This window comes from Homo sapiens, chromosome 13, assembly GCF_000001405.40.
Source record: "Homo sapiens chromosome 13, GRCh38.p14 Primary Assembly".
NCBI lineage: Eukaryota > Metazoa > Chordata > Mammalia > Primates > Hominidae > Homo > Homo sapiens.
The window spans coordinates 23,940,555-23,952,611 of record NC_000013.11 but is presented as its reverse complement, the minus strand read 5'-3'; the positions used below and the strand labels follow the sequence as shown (position 1 = coordinate 23,952,611).

At 49.2% G+C, this 12,057-nt stretch overlaps 1 pseudogene across 1 annotated transcript in view; it reads left to right on the top strand.

The window, feature by feature from the left end:
* Positions 1–3,296: 3,296 nt before the first annotated feature.
* ANKRD20A19P (ankyrin repeat domain 20 family member A19, pseudogene) overlaps positions 3,297–12,057 on the top strand; it is a 42,032-nt pseudogene continuing 33,271 nt past the window's right edge. Inside the window, exons 1-3 of the transcript NR_073430.1 lie at positions 3,297–6,862; positions 10,872–10,986; positions 11,143–11,322. The product of NR_073430.1 is annotated as an ankyrin repeat domain 20 family member A19, pseudogene (transcript). The remainder of the gene's footprint in view (positions 6,863–10,871; positions 10,987–11,142; positions 11,323–12,057) is intronic.

The following is a 12,057-nucleotide window of genomic DNA, read 5'->3' as shown; positions in this document are numbered from 1 at the left end:
CTCTATGTCTAGCTAATCTTAGGGTGGGAACTTGGAGAACTTTTGTGTCTAGCCAAAGGATCGTAAATGCACCAATCAATACTCTGTGTCTAGCTAAAGGTTGGTAAATGCACCAATCAGCACTCTGTCAAAACAGACCAATGAGCTCTCTGTAAAACGGACCAATCAGATCTCTGCAAAATGGACCAATCAGTAGGATGTGAGTGGGGCCAGATAAGGGAATAAAAAAAGCAGGCCACCAGAGCCACCAGCGGCAAACCCCTCTGGTCCCCTTCCACGCTGTGGAAGCTTTGTCCTGTTGCTTTTTGCAATAGATCTTGCTGCTGCTCACCCTTTGGGTCTGTGCCACCTTTATGAGCTGTAACACTCACGTGAAGGTCTGCAGTTTCACTCCTGAGGCCAGCAAGACCACGAACCCACAGGGAGGGACAAACAACTCTGGTTTGCACCAGGCAGGGGGCATAGCCATGGCAAAGGCTAGGTGGACAGAAGTGGCAGGAGGCAGCAGGGCCCTTCGGAGGAGCGGATGGAAGGCCTTCTCAGGTAAAGGGCAGAGCACCACACGCCTTTCTGACCACCACCCCCAGGGCCCAGCCGCTTCCAGGGACCAAGACAAGAGGCCCCTGTGGTCTTCTAGGTGAGCTGTAGTCAGCCTCTGTCGCTTCTGAATAATCACAGGGGAGCCTGTGTGCACTGACTAAGCCTCTGCCTGAGGGTGGAGGGGCATGGACTTGGTGTCCAGCCAGGATCCACTGGCCTCAGCCTCTGGAAAACGGGGTATCATGAGCTTTAGCACAGGTCATAAATAGGGTGGGGGTCCCTGGAAGAGGATCTGAGGACCATCCCTGGGGATTTCGTCCAGCCACCATCCAGCTGCCATGACTCCCAGCAGCCACTAATTCTCATGGTACTGGGCTTGACCTCTGCAGTGTCCCAGAAGGGTGTCACCTCATTTTATCCTCCTGGGATGAGTGGGGCTGAGGCCAGGGGACTCCTGCCAGAACTAAGGGTGACTGGGAGGGGTTGCCCAAGGCAGACAGGCCACCTCTATTGCCATCAGGCCCCCAGGAGGGCCCAGATGATGTGAGTGTTTGGGTGTGGGGGTGTCCTGGCCTGATGCAGCTCCCCCTGCAGGGCTGTGCTCCCTATGTGCACTGGGCTCTGACTCCCGCACTGGACCCTGCACTCCCACGGCACTCAGTGATTCCAGGACCGTGGGACCCCAGAGGCTCCTCAGGGAGCTGAAGAACATGATGGCAGGAAGGGGTGAGGTGCCAGGAGCTAAAAGAACACAGCCAGTGGGCTGAGGCATAAACCACGAGAATGCAGGGAAGGAGGCTGTGGGAGGGGCAGCAGTAGAGATGGGAGAGAGTTTGAGGGCCATGTCTCAGAGGATCTGCCCTGGGAAGCCACTGCTATGGAGCAGGTGGGCACAGTGTCAAGCCCAGGTACCTCTGGAGAGGGTGGAAAGGCTCATGGGGTGGAATTCTGGGGAGGGACCCTGGGACCAGTCTTCTGCTTCACCTGAGGGCCTGGCCTTGGCTGCGGGCTGGGCAAGAGGGGAGGGGACCAGGAGTCCACAGCATCCAGCCTGGGGTGGCCAAGCAGAAGGCCTTGGCTGCAACTGAGGCATGAGAAAGAGAGGAGGGACCGACCGAGGTGGGCTGGGTCCTGGGCCCCGCCCCCACGCCGGGCAGGGACTCTTTCATCAGGCTGCCTTGTCCTTGCAGCCCAGAGCCCTGGGACCTGGGCCTGGCCTGGAAGGGGCTCAGTGTTACTGGAAGGGGCTCAGTCCTCCTGGGGGCTGGCCCTGGGACTGAGTGTTTCAGAGAAGCATAAATCTAGTCCTAGTATAAAGCTAGGGTCCCTATCCTAGCTTGTACCCACCACAGGGTCCCAGGAGAGAGGACTTGGCTTCCCAATAAGCCATCTTAAATCTTTCTCTTGGGCCCTCAGTTTCCCCAGGGGCCATTGGATTGACCACTGTGGCTGTGTATTGGTTGTGGGGTGCCTAATGGGGTGCCCCAGGGCTCTTCCCACTCTTTCCAAGGTGCCTGAGGGCCCATAGCCAGGTGCCCTGAAATTCATGCCGTTGCTCAGATAAGTGTGCTCAGCTCTCATCACTCCTCTTGTCCACAGCCTGGGTAAAGCCCTGAATCCTGGCCTGCAGCACACCCAGACCCAGGCCTAGATGAGGAGGGGGAGGAGGTGGCCAGAAAGCAGCACTTCTTGCTGCTCTGGGCCTTAGGACACAGGGGAGCTGTTCTGCAGCCCATCCCGGGCCAGGGCCCAGGCCCAGGCTGCCGCCTGGGGTAAGGATGGTATCCGGAGCAGAGCCCCATTTAGGGGATCAGCACTAGGAGGGAGGCTGGGAGGATCCAAAGTGACTCAAGGTCACAGCATCCACAGAAACGGCTCTAAAACCCTCAGAGCAAGTCCTTCTGCCAAGTGTTTTCAGAGCGCACATCCCTCTAGTGAGGTTCACTGGGAGGACATGCTCCAGTGTTGTCCTGGAGGGACCTGCAGCCTAGGGGTCAAGGGAAAGGCTGGGACCAGTCGCCTGGTTGAGTCACCTGTCGTCCTGGCACCCCCTGGCTGCCCAGCACCCCCAGTGCTATGAGTCCCCCTTCCAGCATAGCCTGACTGCAGGTCCCCTTCAGCCTGTCTCCATCCATGGTGAGTGGCCAGCTTGTTTCTCATAAAAGCTGTGACATCCAGGGGAAGACAGACCCTTGCCTCTGGGCCAACTCGGAGCAGCTGAAGGAGTCAGGTCTGCCCCAGAAGGGAACAGAGGCAGCTCCCCAGCCTTGTTGGCATAGGATCTGGGCCAGCGGCTTGCCTGAGCCCAGAAGGTGAGGGATGAGGCCTGAGCACTCATCCTTCAGAGAACAAGTTCCCAGCTGGCCCCCATGTCCAAAGAGCGCAGCCTTAGCAGAGATCCTGAGAGATCCAGCCTTTCCCAGTGCCACGAGGTTGGCCTTGCACCCCACTGGCATGGGCAGTGAGGGGGCTCCACAGCCCACCAACATCCACATGCACTTTCTCTGCCCACGTGGGCACTCAGAGAACAATGCCCCTCATCCAGACAAGGTCCTGAGGCCGGGCTCCCATTGCCCCCATTTCTGAAGGCATTTCTGGCTCTGCAAGAGAAAGGACGATGCCAGGGCAGTGAATCGGCACATCCGAGGCATTTCTTCTTCCTGGGCTTGTTTCCAACCCTACCTGCTGGGAGGCAGCAGGATTACCTGGGTAAGCAAGATTAGTTGTGTTCAACTCACCCAGGAATCATATTAAGCAAATTGTTTGGAAAACAAGCCTTGGAGAGGAAGAGCAGTTGGGCAGGTGGCCTTAGAAGCAGAGACAGACGTCCCTGTTGATACCACTGTTGATGGAGAAGCACTCGGCTCTCCTCCATCAGGGGAAACCAAACCTGCCACCCCACCTGGGATGTGGCCTCCCCAGGGAAAGAGTAGAGAGGCTGGAGCTCTGGCAGAACAGGCCTGGCAAGGGGGCTGGAGGCCAAGGCTGGTGTTGGGGCTCAGATCAAAGCCATCATGCTGCATGGAGCCCAATCAGCTGCCAACACTCTTGGTGACACAGAGCCCTCACGCCTCTGGTGGAAGAAGCCAGGGCTGGATGAAGCTGTGGCGTGCAGCTTCTGCACAGTCTCCGTGGAATCTCTCCTACTCTCCCGTGAGCCTTTGGAGGCCTTGCAGGAGCTCAGCCTTTCAGCAGAAGGACTGGGTTCAACCGCCCCTGCAGGAGCAGCTCCTTGGCCTCCCAGGCACCAGTGGTTGGGGGCTGCATCCTCTGTGAGCCTCAGGTCAAGCCCATACAGTGCCCTAGACTCCTCCCTGCTCTGACCCTGGGCCCAGGAGAAAGGCCGAGCACCTGGCCCTCTGGAGACAAGGACATGGCCATTCCTCAGAGGTCCTTCCCCTGACAAGCTGGGCCCCCTGTTGTGGGGCGCACCACTGGACATGGTAGGGGAGTGGTGGCGGCCTTGCCCGAAGGCAGGCTGCGGGAGGGGCGGGGCTGGCTCACCACAGTTGGTTGATTCAAGTGAGGCCTGGGGTCCTGCTCTCCTTCCAGCTTCCATCTCAGGATGGCTCTCAGCCCCCCACATTGAAGACCAAGAAGGTGAGGGGCAAACCAAGGGCCCTGCCTATGGAAGCTTCCTGTGATGGGCTGCAGGTAGCAGGGGCTGGAGAGGGCTGTGGTTGGGGCCACACCAGGCTCCCCCAACCTGAGCATCCTGGAAGGTGACAGCTCACCCTTGGCAGTGGCAACCCCCAGGCCAGCAGCCCCATCTGAGGACAGTTGTCTTCAGTGCCATTGGCTGTGGCAGCACAGATGGGGGGTGTGAAGACCTGAGGCCCTGCGACTGTAGCACCTACAGCCACTGGAGCCAGCTCTGCACAACTCAGACCTGGGTGGCGAGGACATAGCTTTGCAGGTGGGCAGCCACATCCCAGGGGGAGCCTGCAGGCCAGTGGCAGGGTGGGGGCAGGCAGAGCAGGGTCTCCCCACTGTTGCCGCTGGGCTCCTGCGGCTTGTGGAGAAAGATGGGTGGGCCCACACATATTGCTGCTCCCTGGATCTGAGCCTCGGTTTCCCTACCTGTGAAACGGGTACCCATGGCAGCTCAGAAGTGTCTGGCAGTGGGGCTGCTGGGGCACAGTCATGGGGGACCCGAGTCCTGCTCTCCATGTGCTCGCTTCCCTCAGTGGTCCCTGATGCCAGCAGAACTTTCTCCCAAAAAGAGAAGGGCGTTCCTGTGAGTTCTTGTGTGGGGGGTGGGTCACAGAGCCTCTCCAAGTGCAGGGCAGGGTGAAGGGAGGCTGAGGGGTGGTTGAATGGCCCTGGGAAGAGCTCTCTTGGGCTCCTCGTGTCTGGGTGGCCTGGGGAGCATGCTTTTGGGCAGGCGGCTGGCAGGGCTGGTGGCTGAGCCACTGTGGCTCAGGATCCCCAGCCCAGGCCTGAATAGGGTAGGCAGGGAGAGGGGAGGGTGAGTGCATGGTGCAGGACAGTGTGTCTCCTGGACAGAAACAGCCCTGGTCACTCACGGCCATGGCATAGCCATGGCTACAGGAAAGTGCTGCTGTGTGTTGCAGCCCCTGGGGCCGGCTCCCAATGGACACCCAGCAGCATCTCCCCCACTGTGCTGAGGGGAGTTGTGCCAGTGGGGTGCTGGCAGCAGTCCTGGGAACTGGGGGAAGAGCCTTGGCAAGCCCATCCCTCCTCGGGCATCAGGGATGGGCTCACGTGACCAATTTCTCCCATGGAAGATGTTTGGGGTGTGCCCAGAAAATGGGGAGGGCCCTGTGGGGCAGGATTGTATTATTAAATCCAGAAAGTCTGGGGTTCCATTTTTAGCACAAGGCAGGCAGCCCACGTGCCCCAGCCCAGTGGCCAGCCTGTGTGGGAGAGGGGAGTGGGGGCCAGAGGGAGTGAGGCTTCTGTTACTGCAGCCAGCCAGGGTGGCCAGTGTGGACTGGACAGCGGGCACTGCACCAGGGGCACTGGTACTGACCTTGGGCCATGCACCTGATGCCTGTGAGAGTGATCTCTAGGAACCACTGCACAAGGGGGCAGATGAGGGAACCCTGACATGGGACAGCTGAGGGTTACGCCAACACGGGGGGGAAAGCTGTGTCCAGGCTCCACCGGACTCCGCCGAGGACAGAGCACTGCCCTGACTCTAGGGTGCGGGGTCACTGAGGGTTAGGACAGTCTGGAGTTGGGAGAGGGCCATGCTGCAGCTGGGGCACATCCCACCTGCACCTCTCTAGATCTTGGAGATGGGACCCCCACCCACATGCTCCCCAGGTGGGTCCCATCCTGGGGGGTGCAGGAGGGAGCTCCATGTGCCCCTGCTGATCTGCCCATCTGAGCCTCAGGGGTCCTGGGCACTGAGAGCTGGGCTGGGCTCAGCGGGGGTATGCATTGACATTGGGGACAGAGAGGGGATGCTGAAGCGGGTGCTGTCTGGGTGGGGCCTGCCTGATCGACCCAGCAGGTGCACCCAGCAGCCGGAGGTGCTTCTAGCAGAGTGAACGCCCTGTCCTTAGGGGCATGTGAGCTGAGGCTGGGGGCCTGGAGCTGCAGGGGGAGGAATTGGGGAGAGCAGAGGTCCCAAAGATGTCCCAAGGCCCCAAGACCCTGGTGAAGGAATGGAGGAGCCAGCATTGGTCGGCGAGAGGGGAGTGGGAGTTGGATGGCCTGGCTCTGGGCTGGACACACGGTTTGCAGCCACAGCTGAGCTGTGCTGTGGAGCCCAGTTCCCACCTGGGCATGTCCTGTCCTCTGAGGCTTCCGGGAGCCGGACGGCCACCGCGGTGCAGGCGCGCACTCAAGGGCTTTCGAGGCTCACTCTGTCGGAGAGGTCAGAGACTGAGTGTCGCTGCTGAAGGCTGTGGTGGACCGGGCTGGATCGCGGATTCTAGGTTAGATCGCAGATTTGGGATCGCGGATTGGGGATTGGATTGGGGATTTGGGGTTGGATCAGGGATGTGGGGGCTGGATAGGGGATTTGAGGATTGGATCGGGGATTTGGGGTTGGATCCTGGATTTGGGGCCGGGTCGGCGGTGGGGGGCAGTGAAAAGGTGACAGAGAGCAGCCCCTGCTCAGGAGCCGGTGGTTGGGGGTCTGAGAAGTCACCACCACCAAGAAGTTCTTCGGCTTCGGGAGCCGCGGGGGCGAGATGGCCCGGGCTCCATAGACCACGTCTGCACGGTTCCGGGTACCGAATCCGGGACGCGGAACAGCGGAAAATCCAAGGGCGGCTGTCAAGGACCGGAGGTGGAGCGCGGCCTGGAGCGCAGGAGCCGGAGACCTGGAGGCCCGGGACAAGCAGCACAGGTAGCTGGGGTCAGCCCAGGGTGAGAGGGGGGTCCCCAGGCCCGGCTTCCCCGCAACCCATGGGACGGGGCCTTGGATGGGGCCGGGCACCCTTGGAGCCGCGGAGCCAAATCAAGCCTCAGCTGCTTACCATCCCTCATGATTTCCTGGCTGAAGCAGTTGATGGAGAATTTGAGTGATTTAACTCATAAAGTTAAGCATATACGATGTTGTTATTTTTAATGTACACGTTTAAAATATAGTGTTATATACGTTATAGGAGGTGCCTAATGAGATAACTCATTCCCCTATCAAAAATACCGTGAGTTATTTTCAGTAGGCAAAAAGTTCTCATTAAACTGTCCGTTTTACATCTGTATCCACCTCTGTAGATAGGTTCTTTACTAAAGGTTCTTAGAAGCTTGGAAGTGGGAGGTGGGTTCTGTGTTCTTGAATGGGAACACACATTTTTCTCAAAATGTGAGCTCTTTCTGTGTTTATCAATTTTACATAAACCGAATGAAAATATCAAGCTTTTAACATTTTTGCATGACACCTGTCTTTTACTATTGTGATGACATTTAAAAAAATTTCATAATGGAGTGAAAAAACACTTGCTCCTCTAGATATCAAAATGTGCTATTTCTACAATTGTTTACTAACAGCTGAAAAGACAGATAAAGGCATGGAACAGAATAGGAAACCCAGAAACACTGAAGTTATTTAAGATATAAGACCTGATGAGCAGGATAAATTATTAATGAAAAAATGTCTGCTGTTTGAAGAAAACTAATGAAATTTCATGTCACAAACATACAGATTGGAATACAGATTGAAATTTTTATATACGCAAATGAGAAAAGTACCAGAACAAAATACAAACACTTATTTTCCAGGTACATTTTATGTTGACAAAGGCCTTTCTAAGAATGACCTCACAAGCAGACATTTGAAGGTTTATTTAGCAAACTAAAAATTAAAACTGCCTGTATTTCAGAAAAAACTTAACAAAATAAAAGAATATACTTGAAAAATATTTACTATATCATATATATATTCAGATGAAAAGTATGCTTTCATTTTACAGGGAATTCATCATATATTGAGTCAGAGTCTCGCTTCTTTGCCCAGGCAGGAGTGCAATGGCACAATCTTGGCTCACTGCAACCTTCTCCTCCCAGGTTCAAGCAATTTTCCTGCCTCAGCCTCCCAAGTAGCTGGGATTACAGGCACATGCCAGCACACCGAGCTAATTTTTGTATTTTTAGTAGAGACGGCGTTTCACCATGTTGGCCAGGCTGGTCTGGAACCCCTGACCTAAAGTTGTCTGCCTACCTCGGCCTCCCAAAGTGCTGTGATTACAGGTGTGAGCCACCGTGCCTGGTCTATATTCTTTATTATATATCATATATATATATTACTGATAAATATAACATGTTACAGATATAATGTGTTGTATGTGTCATTTATACACATTAGATGAAAAGTTATATGTATATATACACATTAGATGAAAAATACATCTTCATTTTACAGGGAATTCTTTCAAATCAAATCATCAAAAACTCTAAAAGTGGGCAAAGTACTTTTTTCCAGATCTACAAGTTACTTATGTACATAGGAAAAAATCCTTCGCATTTCTGGTATAAGAACTTAAAAGAGGAATGAAACTGTTTTCTATCCACAACATTTGTGAGGATGTTTTATACTGCTGCTTAAAGTTTAAGTTGCTGATTACTTTTCAAATAGATAAAGCGCTACGTTTAAAAATGTATGTCCTTTACCCATGAGTTCCGTTATACTAAAATACCCCTAGGAAGTAGATACATGCACTTTATTTTTCGCAGCACTTATTTTAGAAAGAACCCACAGAATGGATCCTATAAATAAATTTCAGTTGCATCCATAAAATGGAATAATGTGTGACCGTTGAAGGTGACAATAGATACAGAAGTACGTTGATGTGCAAAGATGTATTTTGTTATAGCCAGCAAGGAAAAAAAATTGGTTCGATTATGCATACACATAAACATACTGTGGTCTTATTTTAGCAAAAAATATGTAAAAATATGATAAAAATTTGTAATTTCTGAGCATTTGTATTTTAGGTAAAGTTTTTTTTTCCTTTTTCTTATCTGATTGCTGCAGTGAGCATGTACAAAACTTCTAGTATAGGTTTATTATTAATGGAATAATCTTTCGGAAGAGAAGAATATAAATCTTGCACAGAAAAAAATAATTTCTCGCTTTCTATTTTTTATCATTATTGTGTGTGTTATTATCTTCTTTGAACTTTTAGCCTCTTCGTAAGTGAAAATGGAAAGTTTTTATCTGTTTCCTGATGTTATTATGTATATATTTATTACGTACGTGTTTTTCTTATGTGTAGATTCATTCCATTTATGCAAACAATGATAGATTAATCATTTCATTTTAATTGTATTCTTTAAAAATAAAAATAACACAAATAATTACTATTGCAAAAACATTGCTTTATAGGAGTTTATTTAAAAATACTGAACTCCGCAACTGTATTTATCTATTCTTTTATTCCATTTATTCATCAAACATAACCTGAGTACCTGTTATATAGCAGACGTATTCTATCTCTCAGAACCCTTCCATCCTTAAAAACTGCATGTTTACCTCCCTGCCTGCACAAGCTGAGAGATTTAAAATGAGAATATCGGGACTTAATCTCATTGAAACTTTATCTCCCACCTTTCAAACAAAAGCATTTCTGAAGTTAGAAAATAGTAGAAGATAATCTTTAACTGCCCTTTCAAAAGTTTATCAGTCTTAAATACTAATATTCATCATTGGAAAGTCTTATTTGCATATATTCTGTAAATATAAGTATTGAATATAATGAGCCATGCGTATTCATTTGAATCATGAGTTTCCTTTGGCTTCAAGTTGTTTGAAAATCAAAGAATTAATTTGTTTAAAATATGTGTTACTGTTATTTCAGTGCTCTTTCCCCATAGTTCCCCTTTAAGAACTAAAATGTATTGAAGTGCCAGTTATCTGCCTAGAACTGCCTTAGACCTGCTGAGTATACCATATTCTACTTAATGTAAGGTCTCATGGATTGTGTGATGCCCCATAATTTTATATATCAATAAGATAATTTTTAAAATGCTACCAATTATAGTTGTAATAAATCATGAATCATAAATGGCATTCAAATATCAGAGGTGTTAAAATGTGAACTACTCGTTAAGTCATCCTACAAAGTAGGTAAATTGTATCATTTTACTTAATTAAAATGTTTTTGTTAAGTAGTAGTAATAGTAGTAATTATAATATCTGGCTGGGTGCAGTGGCTCACACCTATAATCCCAGAACTTCGGGAGACTGAGGGGAGAGGATTGCTTGATGCCAGGAGTTTGAGACCAGCCTGGACAACAAAGTGAAATTCTTACTCTACAAAAATTTTTAAATAAATAGCTGGGCATGCTGGTGCACATCTGTAGTCCCAGCTACTCAGGAGGCTGGGGATGGAGGATCACTTGAGCCCAGGAGTTCCAGGCGACAGTGAGGTAGAATTACACCATTGCATTTCAGCCTGGGCAAAAGAGTGAGATCTTGTCTCAAAAAACAAAAATCTTACAATGATTACAATTATTGAGTTGTTGTAGGAACTATTCTAAATACTTTACATAGTTCCTCATTTAAGCATCACGATGGTGTCCTTTGAGAAAGCTACTATTGTCATCTTTATTAATGAGGAAGTTGAGGCACAGAAAGGCTAAGCAATAGTTGGTAAGTGACAGGGTTTAAAGTAGGACTCAAGCCCTAGTTGAACTGAATCCAAAGACCGAGCTCGTTCTATTCAGATAGGCTGCTGTTTTCATTAAGGTAGTGAGCAATAAGAGCTAATAAGTATTGTACTTTCCTTTAAAAAAATTAATTATTTGTTTTGAAGGCAGAGGAAAAACATGCTATTCAATGTTTACAATTACATGAATGATCGTATGTTTTGAGATATTGCACTACGGTTTCCTAAAAAGTCCTCTTATTCTTGTAGAACTGCTCTACATTTGGCCTGTGCCAGCGGCCATGTGGAAGTGGTCACTCTCCTGGTGAACAGACAATGCCAAATTGACATCTGTGACAAAGAAAAGAGTGTGCCTTTGATACAGGTATATAGTAGCCAACTCTTTCAGCATGACATGGATTTGATTTACACATATAGAATTAAAATAAATTGATCTCATTTAAATATAACGAATTGGTGAAACCTGTAGAATGTGTATTTTGAATTCTTAGAGTTTACAATCTACTTCTTCATCTAACAGGCACAGGCTGTGCATTGCCAAGAAGAGGCTTGTGCCATTATTCTGCTGGAACGTGGCGCCAATCCAAACCTTAAGGATGTCTACAGCAACACTGCTCTCCAGTATGCTGTGTATAGTGAGAGCACATCACTGGCAAAAAAACTGCTTTCCCATGATGCAAATACTGAAGCACTGGACAAGGTATAGATCAATCAACTTTCTTTTCAACATATTTGTTTTAACATTGACATAGGTAAGGGTCAATTGTTAGTATTTGGAAGCTCAAGCATTCCCTGAATGCAAGTGCAAATTAAGTTATTTTGAAATAACTTAATTGTCTAAGATTTTATTTTCAAAATTCATACTTTTAAAGAACCATTAAAGGGCACAGCTTTTTTAAATGTACTTTGGAAAATATTTGCGAATTTGTTAAAAGTAAAACCTTTTCCATTTTTTTTCTACACAGGTTTATTCCTTTTTTTCCTAATTAGTGTAAAACAACACAAGAAAGAAAATATGCCCTGGAAATAGGCTTTATCTTAAAACTCAAACAAGACTAAAGCAACTTAAAATAAATGGACATCTTGCTGCTGCTGACAATTTTCTAACAAACTGACGTATCATCTCTCAGTGGCAAGGCTTAAGAGGGAGAAATGGGAAGGGAAAAGGAGAGCAATAAGAAATATGCAGGTCAATTGGAAATTAGGTCATGAGGGAAAATGCCAAGAAGAGTTTTTTTTCTTAGTTTGTTGTTCTTCTAGTTTATGTGTTGAGACAAGGTGCTCTTTAGCTTTGGGTCTAATAATTTTTGGTTTGAAAATGAGAGTGAGTTGAAACTTGCCTATGGATTAATTTTAGGAGGACTCTGAGGAAACCAGATTGGCAGTGAATATGTGGTGACAAAGTGAGAAACACTTTAGCAGAAGGCGGAACAAA